The sequence below is a fragment of the Homo sapiens genome, chromosome 9, assembly GCF_000001405.40.
Source record: "Homo sapiens chromosome 9, GRCh38.p14 Primary Assembly".
NCBI lineage: Eukaryota > Metazoa > Chordata > Mammalia > Primates > Hominidae > Homo > Homo sapiens.
Window position 1 is genome coordinate 35,730,795 of NC_000009.12, and position 18,649 is coordinate 35,749,443.

At 50.9% G+C, this 18,649-nt stretch overlaps 4 protein-coding genes and 1 non-coding gene across 20 annotated transcripts in view, besides 6 other annotated features; 3 read left to right on the forward strand and 2 right to left on the reverse strand.

The window, feature by feature from the left end:
- TLN1 (talin 1) overlaps nucleotides 1-1,401 on the reverse strand; it is a 35,248-nt gene extending 33,847 nt beyond the window's left edge. The window contains exon 1 of the mRNA NM_006289.4: nucleotides 1,281-1,401. The gene's annotated coding sequence lies outside the window, so the exon portion shown is untranslated. The remainder of the gene's footprint in view (nucleotides 1-1,280) is intronic.
- Nucleotides 958-1,007: an enhancer, noted in NCBI's record as "active region_28334". NCBI's record gives its function as "activates an Ori minimal core promoter by ATAC-STARR-seq in GM12878 lymphoblastoid cells {active_cell/tissue: GM12878}" and the evidence as "EXISTENCE:reporter gene assay evidence [ECO:0000049][PMID:35858748]".
- Nucleotides 1,188-1,477: a silencer, noted in NCBI's record as "silent region_19874". NCBI's record gives its function as "represses an Ori minimal core promoter by ATAC-STARR-seq in GM12878 lymphoblastoid cells {active_cell/tissue: GM12878}" and the evidence as "EXISTENCE:reporter gene assay evidence [ECO:0000049][PMID:35858748]".
- Nucleotides 1,518-1,677: a silencer, noted in NCBI's record as "silent region_19875". NCBI's record gives its function as "represses an Ori minimal core promoter by ATAC-STARR-seq in GM12878 lymphoblastoid cells {active_cell/tissue: GM12878}" and the evidence as "EXISTENCE:reporter gene assay evidence [ECO:0000049][PMID:35858748]".
- Nucleotides 1,808-1,857: an enhancer, noted in NCBI's record as "active region_28335". NCBI's record gives its function as "activates an Ori minimal core promoter by ATAC-STARR-seq in GM12878 lymphoblastoid cells {active_cell/tissue: GM12878}" and the evidence as "EXISTENCE:reporter gene assay evidence [ECO:0000049][PMID:35858748]".
- Nucleotides 1,872-6,205, forward strand: CREB3 (cAMP responsive element binding protein 3). The gene is made up of 9 exons (NM_006368.5): nucleotides 1,872-2,107; nucleotides 2,202-2,349; nucleotides 2,421-2,488; nucleotides 2,602-2,691; nucleotides 4,315-4,421; nucleotides 4,512-4,580; nucleotides 5,254-5,338; nucleotides 5,433-5,517; nucleotides 5,598-6,205. The coding sequence occupies exons 1-9, from the start codon at nucleotides 1,979-1,981 to the stop codon at nucleotides 5,930-5,932; spliced, it is 1,116 nt and encodes a 371-aa protein (NP_006359.3). The 5' UTR covers nucleotides 1,872-1,978; the 3' UTR covers nucleotides 5,933-6,205.
- Nucleotides 1,908-1,997: an enhancer, noted in NCBI's record as "active region_28336". NCBI's record gives its function as "activates an Ori minimal core promoter by ATAC-STARR-seq in GM12878 lymphoblastoid cells {active_cell/tissue: GM12878}" and the evidence as "EXISTENCE:reporter gene assay evidence [ECO:0000049][PMID:35858748]".
- MIR6853 (microRNA 6853) lies at nucleotides 2,128-2,201 on the forward strand. The gene has a single exon (NR_106912.1). It is a non-coding gene; the product is annotated as a microRNA 6853 (primary transcript).
- On the reverse strand, nucleotides 6,072-18,434 carry GBA2 (glucosylceramidase beta 2). Of its 14 annotated transcripts, none has more exons than XM_017014937.3 (17): nucleotides 17,552-18,434; nucleotides 13,821-13,912; nucleotides 13,503-13,618; nucleotides 10,878-11,096; nucleotides 10,031-10,270; nucleotides 9,732-9,834; nucleotides 9,415-9,568; nucleotides 9,204-9,329; nucleotides 8,834-9,006; nucleotides 8,521-8,625; nucleotides 8,208-8,315; nucleotides 8,024-8,109; nucleotides 7,732-7,838; nucleotides 7,438-7,580; nucleotides 7,243-7,358; nucleotides 6,954-7,145; nucleotides 6,072-6,653 (listed from the first exon to the last, which is right to left on the reverse strand). In XM_017014937.3, the coding sequence occupies exons 1-17, from the start codon at nucleotides 17,908-17,910 to the stop codon at nucleotides 6,375-6,377; spliced, it is 2,718 nt and encodes a 905-aa protein (XP_016870426.1). In that variant the 5' UTR covers nucleotides 17,911-18,434; the 3' UTR covers nucleotides 6,072-6,374. The 14 variants fall into 14 exon arrangements, with proteins under 14 accessions (XP_016870426.1, XP_016870428.1, NP_065995.1 ...); XM_017014939.3 differs by having other exon boundaries at nucleotides 6,072-6,810; NM_020944.3 differs by having other exon boundaries at nucleotides 7,958-8,109.
- Nucleotides 18,133-18,532: a silencer, noted in NCBI's record as "silent region_19876". NCBI's record gives its function as "represses an Ori minimal core promoter by ATAC-STARR-seq in GM12878 lymphoblastoid cells {active_cell/tissue: GM12878}" and the evidence as "EXISTENCE:reporter gene assay evidence [ECO:0000049][PMID:35858748]".
- The window catches only part of RGP1 (RGP1 partner of RAB6A GEF complex), a 41,142-nt gene continuing 40,985 nt past the window's right edge, over nucleotides 18,493-18,649 (forward strand). For all 3 annotated transcript variants that reach the window (XR_007061382.1, XR_007061383.1, NM_001080496.3), the window contains exon 1: nucleotides 18,493-18,614. The gene's annotated coding sequence lies outside the window, so the exon portion shown is untranslated. The remainder of the gene's footprint in view (nucleotides 18,615-18,649) is intronic.

Here is an 18,649-nt window from a genome sequence, read left to right on the forward strand (position 1 = left end):
AAGAGAACAAGTGAAGTGGGAGAAGCAGGGCTAAACTTTCAGGGGATTCAGTTATTCCCTTCTCCCATGGCAACAGTGATTCCTTGGTTAGCTTCCCCCATAGTCATCAGCTCCTTCTTCCCTAGGCAGTCCCCAACTTGTGACTAGGCCTTGTACATCCTGGGTCCCTATTTCCCACCTATGTTGTCTGTAAACAACACAGTCCAGAATCTCTGTCCCCTAACTGTGGTGGCCACAGCAAGGGCCTTGGGCTTAGAGAATGGAATAAAGAAGCTGGAATCCCAGATGCCTGCAATTCTAGCTAAAGCCAGAACGCTAGCCTGAAATTAGTTTATCTCTCTGGGTAAAAAGAAGCCCCTGTAACTACATAGGAATAAAGGATTTCCCTACAAAAGAAGGGCATTTACCTACTGCCAACCTCTTAAATTTTATCTGCTCAAGGTCAACTATGCTAGCCTCAAACCACAACCCCTAAAGCTGCCCCAAATTCCTAACATTAACCCCACCTCTAATTTGTTTCCTGATTCCCAGTACCGGCTTGGACATTCATCCCTTTCCTAGCACAGACTCATATCCAATCCCTGATCCCTGAAACTGATCTAAGTTTTGCCTTTAGCACCAAATCCCCTGATGTTAACCCTAAATGTTGACCCCTAAGCCTAAAGTTCATTTATAATTTGATTCCTAACTCACGCTTTCACTGTTTATCCTTAACACCGACCATGCCAACATTCTTTAATCCCTCAAACAAGCTCTAACCTGATTCCTGTTGTTTGTTGACCCTTAACCTGACCCTGAACTCAAATTATGACGTATGATGGCCATCCCAGCAAACAAGATAATGACCGTAATCTAAACCTTACCTATCTAAAACGGACCTGACTCACACTAACTCTTAAGTTTTAACCCCAGCTTTTAACTCCTATAGCGACCCTTGATTCCTAAACGGACCCCACCTAATCCCCAACTCACCCAAAGCTTTCCTACCCACATGCCCGCTATCAGCTAACACCAAAGCCCGTCCCCGCCCTGCGCCCCGCTGCCACCCGACTCCTCACGCTCCCCAAAGCCTATCCCAGACATAGGACTGCTCCCAGGAAAGGCCTGTCTTCCCCAAGACGGCCTACTTCACGCCGAGCTCAAGCCGAGATGCGCTGGACGCTGACCTCTCCAACTAATAGGACCCGAACCGGACACGCAAGAGAGGCAGGGCCCGCCCGCCCCGGGGCCAGGCCCCGCGGCCCCACCCTAAGGCCCCCGCCCGGCCCGGTCTGGCCTACCTGCGCTGCCTGGCTCTGCGCCCCGCCCGCCGGCCCGCCGCCCCGCCGCTTCTCGGGTCGCCCTCGGGCTCCGGCCTCGCCCTCCCTTCGACACTCTCTCGGCCACTTCCGTCCTGGGAACGTCCCCCACCCGCGGGCGGCGCCCTGGGCCCGCGCTCTATGGTCGCGGGGGGCAGGCAGGAAGCTGCTCTGGCCCCGTTCTCGATGCTCGGGAGCCGCCAAAGCCCGGCAGCCCCTCCCTGGCAGGAAGCGAGGGTGCGGCGCAATCCGGAGAGGACGCCAGGACGACGCCCGAGTTCCCTTTCAGGCTAGAACTCTTCCTTTTTCTAGCTTGGGGTAGAAGGCGGAGCCGGAGCCCCGGAACCCCCGCCCTCGGGGTGCGAGGCGGCAGCAGGGCCGTCCCCTACATTTGCATAGCCCCTGGGACGTGGCGCTGCACCCAAGCCTCTTCTCAGTTGGAGGGAACTCCAAGTCCCACAGTGCCACGGGGTGGGGTGCGTCACTTTCGCTGCGTTGGAGGCTGAGGAGAATTGAGCCTGGGAGGCGGGTCCGGAGAGGGCTATGGAAAGCCGCCGGCGGGGAATCCCGGCCGTAGAGGGACAGTGGATAGGTGCCCGAGGCCTACAGCTGGCCTGGGGCTCGTGTCTGGGCTTCGGACGTTGGGGCCCGGTGGCCCACCCTTTCCGTAGTTGTCCCAAATGGAGCTGGAATTGGATGCTGGTGACCAAGACCTGCTGGCCTTCCTGCTAGAGGAAAGTGGAGATTTGGGGACGGCACCCGATGAGGCCGTGAGGGCCCCACTGGACTGGGCGCTGCCGCTTTCTGAGGTAGGTTGGGGTTCTGACTGGGGAAAGCGTGGGATGTCCATGAAGTCAGGTGATGGTGATAAGGTCAAGGCCTGTTCATTGGAACCCTGCGCAGGTACCGAGCGACTGGGAAGTAGATGATTTGCTGTGCTCCCTGCTGAGTCCCCCAGCGTCGTTGAACATTCTCAGCTCCTCCAACCCCTGCCTTGTCCACCATGACCACACCTACTCCCTCCCACGGGAAACTGTCTCTATGGATCTAGGTGAGTCTGAAATAAGTTTGCGGGGAGGACAGGGTTCATGGGCCTGGCTATTCATACTTTCCCTTTTGCAGAGAGTGAGAGCTGTAGAAAAGAGGGGACCCAGATGACTCCACAGCATATGGAGGAGCTGGCAGAGCAGGTACTTGACTTGATTTTCAGGAGATTACTCTCACATTCCCCAGGTGGGGGCAGGATTCCCCATTCCTCTCTGACATCCCCATGCAACTGCCGTCCACTTTCTTGTTACCCTAGGAGATTGCTAGGCTAGTACTGACAGATGAGGAGAAGAGTCTATTGGAGAAGGAGGGGCTTATTCTGCCTGAGACACTTCCTCTCACTAAGGTAAGACTCTCATTGGTTGAACAAAGGCTGAAAAGGGATTAAAAGTCCCAAGTAGGCAAATTCTGTTAACTTTATATCAATAACTTTAAAAAAGGATTGAGGTGAGAAACTTAGTAGATTTATTGCTAATAGGAAGTTGAGGCAGGTACACAATATGCCAGATGCAAGGGCAGATCCTCGTTTTTGTTGGGCTTATACAAATTTTGGTGTTCTGTTAAAAAAATAACTCAAAATTATCAGTGCAACATTAGTATTGGGCCTTGGAAAGGACTGTGTAAGTGAAGGGCCTTGACACTTCGTTGGCTTCATAGTAATCCACCTCTTGCTGAATGGTAGAACTGTTTAGAGAGTTCAACAGGGTTGGACTAAGCAGTACATGAATAAATGTAAAATCCTTAGTTTTCAGTTTTAAGCAATGAGTGGCAACTTCACAAGCAGAGTACTGGGGTACTATGATGAAATCAGTGCTCATTAATAGAAAGGTTACAGGAATATATATATATTTTTTGACAAGGTCTTGCTCTGTTGCCCAGGCTGGAGTGCACTGATGTGATCATGGCTCACTGCAGCCTTGACTTTCTGGGCTTAGGTGATTCTCCCACCTCAGCCTCCCGAGTAGCTGAGACTACAGGTGCACACTACCCTGCCCGGCAATTTTTTTTTTGGTATTTTTAGTAGAAATGGGGTTTTGCCTTGTTGCCAGGCTGGTCTCGAACTCCTGGGCTCAAGTGATCTACCCACCTTGGCCTCCCAAAGTGAAGAATTTTAATTTCTTCAAAGTACAAGATGAGTCAGCAGTGTGATGTGGCTACTAAGAAAGTTCATGGGATTTGGAAACTGTAGCAATAGAGTTATTGTCTCTACAAGTCACTCTCTTGCTTTCCTTGATACTGGCTAGAGCACATCTTTGACAGATACTAAGAGGATGCAGTCTATCCTGAGAAGATGAGTTAAAAATTTTGTCTTTTTTTTTTTCTTTAAGCTCTGAGGAAATGTTAAGTGCCTTAAAATAGCTAAACAGGGTTTATTCTATTTGGCCCCAGAGATACTAGGTAAGTCCAACGGATAGAAATTATAAGGAGGCAGCTGTTGGTTCAGGATAAGGAAGTTTTTATTTGCTTGTTTGAAGACAGGTTCTTGCTTTATTGCCCAGGTTGGAGAATAGTGGCGAGATCATGGCTCACTACAGCTTCAACCTCTCAGGCTCAAGTGATCCTCCTTCCTCAGTCTCCTGAGTAGCAGGGACCACAGGCATGTGCCACCACACCCGGCTAATTTTTTATTTTTAGTAGAGACAAGGTCTCACTATGTTGCTCAGGCTGGTCTCAAACTCCTGGGCTCAACCGGTCCTCCTGTCTTAGCTCCCCAAAGTGTTGGGATTACAGGCATGAGCCACGTCGCCTGAATACTGCCCGACCAGTTTTTTTTTTAATAGTTTAAAATGGTCTGGCTTGTTAGGGTTAACACCTGGTCCGTGGAGGCATTCAGAAAGAATCTGAATGCCTGTTGGTCAGGGAAGCTGTAGAAGGGATTTCTGTATTGGAAAGAGATTGATCTCAGTTGCGTTTCAACTCCTTTTTCTAGAGTTCCTCTAATGATATCCCTTTCCCTGTTTCCTTTCAGACAGAGGAACAAATTCTGAAACGTGTGCGGAGGAAGATTCGAAATAAAAGATCTGCTCAAGAGAGCCGCAGGAAAAAGAAGGTGTATGTTGGGGGTTTAGAGAGCAGGTATGAAAGGGAGAGGGACTCTGTTGTAAGTATTAGGTTTTTGAAGGGAGGATACAGGCCATATCCCCGTATCTTTGTTATTTCCCCCAGGGTCTTGAAATACACAGCCCAGAATATGGAGCTTCAGAACAAAGTACAGCTTCTGGAGGAACAGAATTTGTAAGTATCCCTCCAAACCATTCCCTTCCTATGCCCCTCATTTAATGCTTTCTCACTCTTTCCCCTGCCCTACACTTGATTTCTAACTGGGCAGCTGCCTTCACTAGGTCTCTGATTCCAAGAAGCTCCCAGTAGTGAGGAATACATTTACAAGTAACTAAGAATAAGTTAAGTACCAAGAAAAAGAAAGGGGGTAAGAAAGACGTCATGGGCTTTCATAGTAGTTAGGATTCTGGGGTTGGGTTGGGAAAGCATTCTAGGCAGAGAGAAAGCATCCTAGGCAAGAGGACTAGTCCAGCATAGTCATCTTGGGCTGGAACTCTTAACACACATGAGCTGGGACAGAAGGTAGAGAACATAGAAAATGCCTGGTGAGGATTATGTGCATAGCTGATCAGACAGTGGGGAACGACTGATGATATTCGCAAAGGAGGTTAAGTCCTGGCAGAGTTTTTTTGTTTTGTTTTGTTTTTGCTTTTTGTTGTTGTTGTTGTTTTAATGAGGAACTTCAGGCATTTTGTCCAGAGAGGAAGAAGTCGTTTGCAAAAATAGAATGAAAAGTAAGAGAGAGGATCCAGTGCAGAGATGGAGGAGGTGGCCTGAACAGGAGTTTCACTGTGTCTCAGGATGCTAGGCCAGGGGATGCTCACTATTGGCCCCTCTCTTCCTCTAGGTCCCTTCTAGATCAACTGAGGAAACTCCAGGCCATGGTGATTGAGATATCAAACAAAACCAGCAGCAGCAGCACCTGCATCTTGGTGAGGATGGTGATGAGGGGAGAAATCCTTTTCTCAGTTGGTGGGGACAGGGCAATCCAGAGCCCTTCTTCATCTCCTTTTTCCTGTGCTCTAGGTCCTACTAGTCTCCTTCTGCCTCCTCCTTGTACCTGCTATGTACTCCTCTGACACAAGGGGGAGCCTGCCAGCTGAGCATGGAGGTAAGAGGCTTAAGGATAGCTCTCAGACAGGGCAAGGGGAGAGGTCTGGGTTGGCCTCTGAAGATTCTTTGTCTCCTCAGTGTTGTCCCGCCAGCTTCGTGCCCTCCCCAGTGAGGACCCTTACCAGCTGGAGCTGCCTGCCCTGCAGTCAGAAGTGCCGAAAGACAGCACACACCAGTGGTTGGACGGCTCAGACTGTGTACTCCAGGCCCCTGGCAACACTTCCTGCCTGCTGCATTACATGCCTCAGGCTCCCAGTGCAGAGCCTCCCCTGGAGTGGCCATTCCCTGACCTCTTCTCAGAGCCTCTCTGCCGAGGTCCCATCCTCCCCCTGCAGGCAAATCTCACAAGGAAGGGAGGATGGCTTCCTACTGGTAGCCCCTCTGTCATTTTGCAGGACAGATACTCAGGCTAGATATGAGGATATGTGGGGGGTCTCAGCAGGAGCCTGGGGGGCTCCCCATCTGTGTCCAAATAAAAAGCGGTGGGCAAGGGCTGGCCGCAGCTCCTGTGCCCTGTCAGGACGACTGAGGGCTCAAACACACCACACTTAATGGCTTTCTGGGTCTTTTATTTGTACCCATGTGTCTGTCACACCATGAATGTACCTGGGGAAATCAACTGACCTCCCTGAACATTTCACGCAGTCAGGGAACAGGTGAGGAAAGAAATAAATAAGTGATTCTAATGCTGCCTAGGTCACCCTCAACCCCCATTTACTGGCACAATTGGGTGGAGAGAAGGGAAGGGGTATGATTGTCCTGATGGCTCAGGGTTGCAGGAGGTTCAGAGGGGAAGGAGGAAAGGCCAGGCTGGAGGCTGGGCTGTTAGCACTTCCCTCCCACAGTTCAGACGGCTCACTCTGGGCTCAGGTTTGCCATGGCTTCCTTTGGTCCAAACATAGGCCCTGTCCTTAGTCCTGTGCCCTGTTTGACTTTTGGCCAGGAGGCCTTTTTGTGCTGCTGCTGTTGCAGGGCTAGCTGCATGGCCCATATGCTCAGTGGCCGCATGTAGGCCAGTGAGCGGAACACTCGCTGCTGGCAGTATGCCTCTGGGGTCTGGAAGGCCAGACCCAGGCGCTCCCACACGGTACGGTAGCAGCCTTCAGCTGTCTGGAAGCCCTCCCAAGTCAGGCCCTGTTGGGAGAGATGACAGTCATACATACTAACTTGGCACCCTCTGAAGAGCCACTTCCACTGGATAGATGGAGGCAGTAGAGTCTTTGCCTTCAAGGAGCTCCCAGCAAGTGGAGGAGATAACTATGACCCACAGACAGAAGCCTGAAGGCAGGAGCTGGAATGCATACCAGGGAAAAATGGGAGGCTTTATAGACGGACAAGATGGCATTGGGTTATGCCTTGAAGAAATTTGGTGGTTGAGGAAGTTTTCTGGGCCAGGATACAGATGGTGGAGAGATGGGAAAAGGAGTGCATTACCTCTTGGATCATGGTAGCTGCCAGCCCGTAGACCACACCCACCCAGACTTCATCAGACTGCACACTGGATTTATCAGGGACACCATGGGGCTGCATCCCATTCACAGCCCCCATGGCCCCTCCTGCAAAGGCCTGGACGTTCAGCTCAAAGATAGTTTGGAGAGCACGGACCACATGTTGGGTAGGAAACACCTGGAGGGGCAAGGGCAGGAACATGGTCTCATATACTTACTTCCCACCTCCAGGGAAAACCCATTTTTCTCTCTGGCTGCTCCTCCTCCTCTCTCACCTCAGTGTCTCCTTCTCCTAGGCCACAGGCCTTCAGGAACCACTGTCCAGCACACTGGTCAGACATAACACTACGAGACTGAGGCCGAGAGCTGCTGTCATAGTTGTAATAGCGGCCTGGAGTCGAGGAAGAGAAAAATAAGGCTCCTGGTGTCCTCTCAGCTGCCTTAAGACTACTTAGGCTCCCCGAACTCACCATTCCACAGCAGTCTCTCATAGGCTTCTTGGCCCCGGCTGAGGATAGAAGAAAACTTATCCTGGATGTCCTGTGCCCCACACAGAGCAGCCATCTGGACCATCACAGCCACAGCTGCCAGCCACAGCCCTCCACAGTAAGCACTGATCAGGGACATGGGTTTGGGGGTCAGACTGGCAGCTCCAGCTGCTCCCATGCCGTGTAATAGACAATGAGTCATTCTTTCTTGAGCCCTACAATCCCTTGTTGCCCAGTTTCTCACCTCAGGCCTCCTGGAAACCCCTACCCGCTAACCTGGGGCCTGTGGTCACCCATCCATCATAGGTCTGGTCTGCATAGCCTCCATTTTCAATGAGTCCATCATGGTCCTTGTCAAACTTCATTTCAGATTCCATCACAGCCTAGAGAGGGACCAAGATGTTGAAGACCTAGGTACCGAGGAAAGGCAACAACCAGCTAGGCTCTTCCCAGACACCAACCATACCCCTGGCACACTGGCCACTGCATGTGCATCCCTTACTAGACACACAGGCCACATGTCCTTCAGGAAGTTTTGATCACCCGTGAGGTAATAGTCCCGATAAACCTGCAGCACAAACTTCAGGTTCAGGTCCTTCCAATCAGCAGTATCATGGATTAAATATGCATTGACGCGGAGCCATGGTTCATCATCTGTGGGAGAGGAGGGGACTTGGGTCACTTGCATTGGTGGATAGGGTAGAGGGTGCAAAAGTTGAGGGAGGGAAGCTGACCTTGGGGTGGACTTTTACCTGGGTCCCCAATATCATGGGGGATGACGTTCCTCCTTTTCACAGGTGCCATCACCCCACTCATCAGGTACCGTCGCCGTGTCAGGTCCTCCCTGAGAGTGGCCAGAGCTGGGGGAGAGACACAGAAGGGAGGCAGGGAATGGGCATGCCTGAGGAGGGGCACACAGCTATGTGTGTGACTGCAGTGGGGAACCAGTAAGCAGCATGCAGATACGTATGAAGGGAAGGGAAAGAAGAGACAATCTGAGGGACCACAGAAGTTCGGGGGTATGGGGAGCCAAGAGGGCAGAAGCGGCACAAAAGGGATCCTCACCCATGTCATACTGTAGGCTGAGCTCAAGTTTGGGCCAGAGCATGATGAGGGCAAAGGAAGCATAAAAGTGGACATCATATGTGTTGTACATGCGGTACTCCTGGCCTGGAGGAATGAATGAGACACACTGTTGCCAGAATTCCTGCTTCCCCTTCAAACCCCTCTGTAGCTTGTCCTCTAGATTTAGAGGTGGGGCATTGTTACTAGTCCACACCCAACACCCCCTCATCCTAACCAATACCCTGGGGTAGGCAAATCCATCATCCTGACTTGGGGATGGCCTGCCATATCCCAGCCCACCAGCATCCTGTACCCTCAAGGTAGCCAAATCGACCGTAGTCCCGTAGGGTGGGGCGGAGGTGACACATGTTTCTGCCCAGCTCCTCTGGTAGGGAGTCCTCAAGAACTTCCAGCCACACTGTGCCTCCATCAGCCAGGAAGTATAGTTCATTGAACAGCGCAGATTTGTACCAGGCAGGCAGTGATCTGGGAAGCGAGGAGGAGGAAATGGTTTAAGGAACATGTACCTCCCAAGATGGAAAGGATTTGGGGGTTCAGCAGAGTGGGATCATCAAATGAATCCCAGTGCAAGTCTACTGACTTTGGTGGGTGGAGAGTAAATCGAGGAGTCCCATTTGGAGTGAGTGCCCAGGAGAAAGGCAAGAAATGGGCCCCACTGGCACCTGTCATCCAATACCGGGCTCTGCCAAGCTGAGATCCTCTCTTCCCACTCTGCGTATCGGCACAGTGCATAGTGGCTGAGGGCAGGTGCTGCATCTCCATCCTGGCCAAAGAACCTTGTATACCGCCTGGGGTGGGAAGGGGAAGGATGAACACAAGCCCCAGGTCAGAGCCCCAGCACTCTGGATCCTTACACTTTCTTGGTCCCCTCACCTGTAGTGGACTTGGCCTTTAGCTCCAAACATGATCCTGGGCATGTCCCAAGCCAGTGAAAACTCCAGGCGGCACTGGCCTCGAGGTCGCAACTTGCTGGAAACACACACAGCTCCAGCAATGCCTACTCCTTTCTGCGTAGGGGTGCTTTGGCCTGAGAGAAACACAAGAGAATTCAGGACAGGAGCCCCTTCAGCCCCAGGGATAGGGATCCCTAACATGGAAACAAGGCCTACTTATTACCAGGCCTCCCACCCCTGGTCCCAAGACAGGGACAACCTCTCTTCCCACCATCTCCCAGTCAGACCCCCCATCACCAGTGGGAGAGTCCAGCTGTCCATCCTGAAGTAGATCCTGCCACACCTGCTGCCCCGTGCTGTCAGGGTCAAAGGCTGTGATGTGGGTTACCGTGGTAGCTGCCTGTGAAGGGGTCAGGGACTGTGAGGGCAGGCTCCACGAGTACACTGGGTCCCGGCTAGCTCCCCAGCTCCTCTTACTTACTCTTAACCTCCCAGGCCCAGGGGCTTACAGGAGTATGATGAGGGTGGATGAAGAGACCATGCTGGGGTGGAGGTGGGGTTCAGGGGCTAAGGTATAGGGCAGGCTCTTTCCTTACCGTGACTCGTGCAGCCACAGCCATCGTGTAGGGGTTTGGAAGGGTTGGATGATGCAGGAGCAGCCCCCGGACAGTTTCCCCGCTACGCTCCAGACAGAAGGGCTCATTCCACAAACCCCCTGGGGCATCGTCTCCACCACCCAGTCCATTCCGCATGGAGAACATGATGGACACATCTAGAGCTTCGTCCCCTTCATTTTCCACATCCCACACAAAGACTCCTACAGGCAGGCTGCTGTCCTGGGGGCAGAAGATTAGACTCAGACGGTCCCAGTAGAGCGCCTCCTGACCCCACTCTGCTAGGATCAGTCCTGGGCACACAGAGGACCTGACTCAAATACTCCCCAGTGTACTCTTCTTTTGTCCACTTGCATCTCCCCATATTCCCAGGCAAGCTGCCTAGCAGGGAATATAGAAGACCAGAACCAGTTGGGCGGTGGTTCTGGGAAGCCAGTGTGATGTTCATGGCTCCAACCTCCCTTTCACAGGCCATGCAGTTTCTTTTTTTTTTTTTTTGGGGGGTGCGGTGGCGCAATCTCGGCTCACTGCAAGCTCCGCCTCCCGGGTTCACACCATTATCCTGCCTCAGCCTCCCGAGTAGCTGGGACTACAGGTGCCTGCCACAACGCCCAGCTAATTTTTTTTTTTGTATTTTTAGTAGATATGGGGTTTCACGTGTTAGCCAGGATGGTCTCGATCTCCTGATCTCATGATCCGCCTGCCTTGGCCTCCCAAAGTGTTGGGATTACAGGCGTGAGCTACCGCGCCTCGCAGGCCATGCAGTTTCTAGCAGAGGCAGGTCCTGGGGAAGGGAGGGCAATGGAAGATACAGATGTGGGGGCCTCACCTGGTAGTCATGGGGCAAGATGGGTGTGATCTGACGGCAGGTGAGGGTGACATTCTGGCCAGGAAGCTGATAGACAGTCCAGGCTCGGGGATAGAGGGCATGGTAGAAAGCAAAGTACCCACACAGGCCCCAGTTCCAGCTGCGGAGGACACTTGGGCGCTCCAGGGACAGGACTTGCTGGTACACAGTCTGCCCTTCCCGACGCAGGCACACTGTGAACTTAAGAGGGCAGATAGGCTGGAACGGGGTAAACCACAGGGACCACAGACTAAGTCTTCCCTCTCCTCAAATCAGCTCCTCCCCTTTCAGAGCCTGCAACTGTTACCACTGCACCATCAGCTTCAAGTCATCCCCCAGGCTCAGTGAATCACCAAGTCCTGCTACCTCCCCATCCATCTATCTCCCAAGCTTTCTCTCCCTTCTCCACTACGGTGGTGTTAGCACCTCACTTAAGCCCAATCTCCTGCTTTTTCTGTGGCCCTTTTCATCTGGGTAGCAGAGTGATCTTTCTCACAGGCAAATCAAGATATGTCAGTCCTTGGTTAGGATGTTTCAGTGACTCCCCATGGCCCTCAGGCTAAAGTCTCAACTCTTGCCTGGCTTTCAAGGCCCTTCTTGAGCTGGCCTCTCCCTGCCCATCAGACTCATCACCTGTTCAAGCACCTATAGTCTGTTCATATAAAAACACTCACTGTTCCTTGAGCACACTACATTCTCTCCTCCATGCCTGTGCTCATGCTTGTTCGCTATCTGGTGAAACCTCTCATCCTTCAAAGCCTAGGTCAAAAGCCATCTCTTCCTCCTCTACTTCTTCCAGCAGTGAGTCATTATGTGTGCCCCCCTCCCCTTCTATTCTAGCATTTGGTGTATTATGTTATAATGTATTGACTGACCATTCTGTGTCCCTGACTGCTGTATGGATTCTTCTGAGGGTAGGGACATTTTTTAATTCACTGATGCACCCTTCTTCAGAGTTGGCATGTATGTGGAGGGAATGAGCGAAATCTGCAGCACCGTCCCTTTTTCCACAGTATACTATCCACCCCTCTCCTTTTAGCACTGATGTGGTCTCACAGTCTCCATTTCCCCTAAGTCTTATTTTCTCAAAAAAAGTTTTAGCTCTTGGAGGGTAGGAGCTATGAGGGATTAATATCCCTTTCCCTGGTTCAAACTATGTCAAATATTTTTATTGTATACAGTGGGCTCTCCATATCTGTGAGTTCCACATCAGTGGATTCAACCAACCAAATCTAAAATATGTGGAAAAAAAGTTGTGTCTGTACCGAATATGTACACACTTTATTTACTGTACGGCACAACAAGGGTTTATGTAACAATGTATGAGGTATTATAAGTAATCTACAGATGATTTAAAGTATATAGGAGGATGTGCAATGGTTATTTGCAAATACTATAAGCCATTTCAAATCAAAGACTTGAGCATCCTCGGATAGCAGGTCCTGGGCCCAACCCCCCATGGATACTGAGGGACAACTGTATAAAATAATTTTTCATTTTGTTGGAATGGTACATAATGGTTAAGACCACAAGCTCTTCACCCCAGAAAGAAATGGTTCTGAATCCCAACCTTTCCATTTACCAACCTTGTGACCTTGCGCATGTTACTAAACCTCTCTGGATCTTAGTGTCCTCATCTGCAAAATGAGCATAATAGTGGTACTTCCCTTGTAGGATTGTTTTTAATATTAAACAGTATACAAAGAGCCTAGCACAGTGTCTAGCACATGTTAAGCATGCAATAATTACTTTAATTGTAGAGTCACAATTCTGGAAGCCATTCCCCTCAGGATACCTAAGGGATGAGGCAGAGAGGGATCTTGGGACATGGGCAGGGCTGGTAAACGTGAACCAGGAAGGGTATTGTCATTAATTGGACTAAAGATTTGCTAGTCATTTTTCCTTTGAAGATGAGGCTGAATGCTGGAGCCAAGAAAGAGGAACTTCCTAGGCAACTCTAAAGGGGCGGTCAACTAGAGAGAGATGATGAGAGGCAGGACACATACTTCTGGCAATTTAAGGCCCAGATGTGATGCAGGAGCAAAAGGAAAAAAGTGAAGCTTCAGAAGAGGGAAGAAGGCTAGAGATCTAAGCCTGGGAGAGAAGGAGCTTTTTAGACCCTAAGCCAGGAGACCTCCAGGGGAGTGATCAGCAGAGGAGCTGAACTTTGGTGAAGGTTCCTCAATCAGGGTGAGGAACCTTGTACTACGTGTCTTTTTTTCCCATGAGTTTATAGACTTTGGGTTTTCTTTTCCCTTCCAGTCCTACAAAATGTTCTTTCAGGCAGGTTAAGTGATTTGGGAATTCTCTGCATTCTCTGTGGTTGGGGGCTGCCTCAGCTAGTTGGGTTGGGGCAGTGAGGTAGACAGGAGGCATTTACTAGAGAAATGCCAGATCTGTTTACTCTTTCAAGGAATGTGTGCTTGTGTGTGTCTTATTCCTACGGTATATCCTAGCTCAGGGCTGGGCACACAGGAAGCATCCCGAGAGTACTTATTAGATTGAATCTTATTCACATCTAACTGCTACCTTCTACACTAGCCAAGAGGTCCTTCCTTCTTGGCCTGGGGAGGTATTGTCCTGGCCTCTCCACCTCCTGGCTCTTACTTGGTCAGCGATGACTGTCCGGTGCTGATACATTCCAGGGTTAAGCTGCCAACGACAGAACTGGCCTCTCCAGCCACGGGTAATAGTGCCTCCCCCGATGCCACCCAAGGGACAACCTAGAGAAATCAGGGTGGTTAGTGGGGTATTGGGAGAGGAAAATAAGCCCATTTCTAACTTTCTAGACTATAAAGCCTGGTTCCTCTGAAAACCTAGGGGATGGAACAGTGCAATTTGCATAAGCTGGAAGTCTCTTCCTAACTGTGGTAGACCTGGAGGCTAGGCCTTCTCTGAGCAGAGCAGAGATGGGGTGGGGCTCACCATAAATCTGTCTTAGGGGTACAGAATTGATCATGTCGATGAAAGGTGTCTTCTTTTCCACATGGGTCTTCCGGTACCACCACTGCAGGTACCTGAGGAGCAAGAGGCAATGTGAGTGGAAGGGGGCAGGTGGGCAGCTGTTCACAGGCTGAGTCACCTGCCTCTCTCTGTGACCTCCCATTAAATGTCCCAAGGACATCTGCTTTCAAACCTTTCTTCCTCTTGATTTCTATACAGTTCAAGGTCCCTTCATCTTCCCAGTCACCCCAGCTGAAGTGAAGGAGTGGCTTTGTTTCTCTCCTTTGTTCTCCTCAGAAGGGGCTTTCTGATCTCTCCTTACCTCTCTAGCACCACCACCACTGCTTTATTTCCAACATCAGGAGCTTCTGTCTGACGTGCTGAAAGGACCATTTATGGTTTCCTGGCCTACAGCCTCCGCCCCCAATCCCCTACCTCCAAAACAGGCATAGGCTGCTGGGAATAACTTTCTTATCTTTATTTTTATTATTTATTATTTTTTTTTTGAGACAGAGTTTCGTTCCTTGTTGTCCAGGCTGGAGTGCAGTGGCTCGGTCTTGGCTCACTGCAAACTCCGCCTCCCAAGTTCAAGAAATTCTTCTGCCTCAGCCTCCCAAGTAGCTGGGATTACAGGTGCCCGCCACCATGCCTGGCACATTTTTTTGTGTTTTTAGTAGAGATGGGGTTTCACCATGTTAGCCAGGCTGGTCTTGAACTCCTGACCTCAGGTGATCCGCCCGCCTCGGCCTCCCAAAGTGCTGGGATTAGAGGCGTGAGCTACCGCTTCTGGCCTTTCTTCTTTTTAAAATGATCATTTTTCTTTCTAATTATGAAAGGTGAAAGGGGGAAAAAAATAATCTCACCCATAGACAATCAGTGTTTATATTTATTTCTGGACATTTCCTCTCAAGCCTTTTTTTTTTTTTTTTTTAAATTCAACATTTAAACTGTGAAGCTTTCTGATTTTGCTCTTGGTAAAGCCTTCAAAAAATCCCAACATTTTCCTGGGCTTGGTACAGCCCTATATCCAAGAGGCAAATGATTGAGGCTGTTTTCAATAGGCAAACGATTCTGTTTTCAAGGCTCTGACATCTGTCCCAGCCTATCTTCTAATCTTATTTCCTACAAATTCTCATTCCAGATGGGTCCTCACTAAGTAGCCCCTGCCCTGCCAGACTCTTTCCCATTTCCACTCTCCTGCCTACTGCCACATTATGCCTACTGTTCAGTCACACCACTTCTAACCAAATAATTGGGTAAGTAACCCCTAAGTCCCAGTTTCCTCATCTACAAAATGGGGATACCACCTGCTCTAGCTATCTAATGAAATGGTTGAAAGATCAAATGACATAATAGATAAGAAAGCCATAAAGTACAGGTATGATTATTACTCATATATACAAACTGTTATCTCAATTCCTAATCAGACATTGCCTTGTTATTTCAATGTTCCTCATGTGAGGCTGACATACTTTTAAGTTCCTTGGGGAAAGGGACAATGACAAAGACTAGCTGAATATTACCCTCAGGTCCAAGCACAGGGTAGGACATATGGTCTGCAGTCAATGCATATTTGCCAATTTTACAGATGAATGAACATACAAATGATGGGGCACAAGAGAGATAACAGACTGGAGCAGAGGAGAAGAAATGTGATTAATGAATAGGGACAGCGGCCAGGCACGGTGGCTCACACCTGTAATCCCAGCACTTTGAGAGGCCGAGGTGGGCGGATCACGTGAGGTCAGGAGTTCAAGACCAGCCTGGCCAATGTGGTGAAACCCCGTCTCTACTAAAAATACAAAAACATTAGCCAGCTGTGGTGGCAGGCACCTGCAATCCCAGCTACTCAGGAGGCTGAGGCAGGAGAATCGCTTGAACCCAGGAGACGGAGGTTGCACTGAGCTGAGATTGCACCATTGTACTCCAGCCTGGGTGACAAGAGCAAGACTGTCTCAAAAAAAAAATAATAATAAAATAAAAAGGGACAGCACATTCTAGGGGTGGAAAGAAGAGGGAAGACAAAGGATGGGATGACAGGAAGGCAGAGAATCCTCTCTGCCAGCTTAGAGAAAACCGGACTTTGAAACTAGAGACCAGAAAGGACTGGTAGAGGGAGGGTGTGGCCGAGGATTAGGGCAACCAGGGAGAGTAACTGCAATCTATGAGGACAGACAGAACAAAGGACTATCTGGCATGGAACAAGCACTCAATAAATATTTATTGAATGAGTGGACTCTGGCTGGAAGGGAGAACAATTGAAATTGAGTTCTTACGAAGGTAAGACCCAGAGAATTCTGTCTTGCTAGAGCTCCTGGTCAGAGTGCCCACAGTTCAGCTCCATCTTAGGAGCTCTCTTACTCCCTTAATATGGTAGCTGGCCATTCCTGACCTATTTGGCCTTCTCCACAATTTCAACCTCAACTCAAGAGTTATCACTTAGAATTCTTGTCTCACCTGTGCTTTCTCCTCATAGGAACTCATCCTATTCCAAAAGCCTTGTATCAGTACCCCCCACTCTATCCTGGAATGGGGAGCCAGGGTCCAGGGGGTTGAGCACAGCTTCAGGCCTCTATGACTCAGTTCATATTTAAGGGCTAAGAGGCTAGGATGCCCATCTTTTCTTGATCTCATTGTTCCTACCACATGCAACTCAGTGTACTTCTCTATGTACACTAGATCCTATTTTGATGCAAAAACTTTTGGGGTCAAACTTGGACTGAATTGATTCCAGAAGCAGCCTGGAGGGATGATTCTTCTCTGCTACAGGCTACCCACAGGCACCAACAAAGCCAGATGTGCAGGCAGCATCAGGCCCTTCCCACTCCCCAGGGCTAGGGTTAGATAACTGATCTCCCCATCACAGCCCCACAGCACTGACTGGGGAAATGAAGGGTCTCCTACTCTAGAAACTGTAAGGGCAGGGTTTCCCAAGCTTTATGCCTCCCTCCACAGTTCTGTGTGTATTGTGTAGACTGAGTCAGGATGACCTCAGGGTGATGCTTTCTGTCCTCACATCCACCTGTTCCTGTTAATGGGTCTGGCTCCTCATCACTAGTCTTTGAACTCAGTGGGGATCTAGATGGGTTCTACATCTATGGCAGTGCCTCTCTGATAAATGACTTAATATCAAGAGCTCTCTATCCCAGAACAGAATGACAGCACCTTCTCATCACTTCAGAGGTGAGGGCAGGGAGGCTCTTCTTACCTACTCCCTGGAGCTAAAGCTTGAAGAAAGAAGCAGTAGTGTTGGGACTCTAACAGTGTGTCTAATGAGGTACAGAGAATGCCCCAGCTGCTTGTGGGAAATAAGGGGTTGAGACCCCCCCACCCCCAAATAAAACAACATTGTGTTAGTATCACAGCAGCCAGATTATCCTTTCCTACCTTGCCACAAAGTATAGCTAATCCCAAAGGGAAGTCATTGGAAACCAGTATGTGAGAAGAGCCTGAATGGGAAAGGCTGATTGCATGACCAAATGTTCCTACCCTTTCCTTCTGAAAAGACAAAACACTGGGAGGGAAGGGTGTTGCAAAGAGATGTGACCTGGTCTCACGGTCCAAAACCACAGGCCTAAAATATGCCAGGGATAGGGACCGCTTCACTCAGACAAGAAGCCCAACTGCTTTCTTGCCCTTTCCCACCTCTGCTAGAAGTTTTGAGCTGGAACAAAGTGAAGCCAAAGGCATTCTAGGCAATGGGGTCTACTCACCTCAAGCCCATGCCTATATGCTTTATCATGTTGCTTAGGGAGACGTTGTTAGCTTGAAAGGGTTTCCTCTTCTCTGTAAACTCATGAGCCAGACAGATGCGCCAGCCAAAGGGAGGCACCTGGTAGCCCATAGCTTTACCCTCATAGGAAACCATCAGCTGCCCAGAGTCCTCCGGATTGCAGCAGTCCGTCTCTTTTGGGGGTCGGCTGTCTTCGGGACTCTTACAGTCTGTAACCTGCACATCCTTGGTGCCGCCAGTCTCTTCAGGGCAATAAACTTGTGGATCCTCTTTGGCACAGCTTATCTGCTCCGAGGCTGGGACGCCGGTTCCCATGTTCCCTGGATCCTGGGTCCCCATGACCTCGATGGCGCCAAGTCCCGAGCCCTCGGATACTAAGTATCTCGCCAGCCTATTCCAGATGCGGGCGCCGGTCGTTGTTAGGTATCGTCCCGGAGGGCCGGGCGTTGGGGAAAGCTTAAATGAGCTGGTGTTTCAGTGGAGCCGGGGAGCTCTTGCTTCAGTGGGGGCGGCGACAGCAAAGAAGCCGCCTTGGGCTCTCCTTCGGTTGTCTCTGTAGGTCCTGGACGGGAAGGGTCGGGCCTCGTCGTCATTGAGCCGACGATTAGCTCGCCCGGCCAAAGGGCGACTGGGCCCGCAGAGAGGGGAGGAGCCGCGGGGCCAGCCCACCAGGCACCGCCCCGGGACGGGCCCGCAAGGCACCGCCCCCGGGACCTCGGCCCGGCCCCTGGGCCACGGCACCGGGTCCCCCAGGATTGGGCGCCAGGTCCCGCCGGCCGGCTCCGGGGCAGCGCCCGCGCCCAGGTGCCAGCCCGTGGGAAGGTGACCCTGGGCGCCGGGATGACCCGAGCCCTTTCCGGTCTGGCCTGCCGGGCGCTTCCGGCCGGAAGGGACTCCGCGGAGGGTGGGGGACCGAAGGGAAGTCCCGCCTCTACCGCCCAGCGGACGCCGCCGCCGCCGCCGCCGCCGCGTACCTAGCCAGGTCCCTGAGGGGCGGGCAGATGAGGCCTAGGGGTGCCGATCCCTAGTGTCGACTATGCGAGGTGACTAGCGGCGGTGATCTTGGGCTGGGACGTGG

Excerpts from the sequence above, each read along its gene's own strand:
- CREB3 (NM_006368.5), top strand. The coding sequence starts at position 1,979 with ATGGAGCTGGAATTGGATGCTGGTGACCAAGACCTGCTGGCCTTCCTG. Across the intron at positions 2,108-2,201 it reads GGGCGCTGCCGCTTTCTGAG|GTACCGAGCGACTGGGAAGT; the intron begins GTAGGTTGGGGT and ends AACCCTGCGCAG. Across the intron at positions 2,692-4,314 it reads AGACACTTCCTCTCACTAAG|ACAGAGGAACAAATTCTGAA; the intron begins GTAAGACTCTCA and ends GTTTCCTTTCAG.
- GBA2 (XM_006716809.5), bottom strand. The coding sequence starts at position 17,910 with ATGGGGACCCAGGATCCAGGGAACATGGGAACCGGCGTCCCAGCCTCG. Across the intron at positions 13,619-13,820 it reads ACCCCTAAGACAGATTTATG|GTTGTCCCTTGGGTGGCATC; the intron begins GTGAGCCCCACC and ends TGATTTCTCTAG. Across the intron at positions 10,271-10,877 it reads TCTTGCCCCATGACTACCAG|GACAGCAGCCTGCCTGTAGG; the intron begins GTGAGGCCCCCA and ends TTCTGCCCCCAG.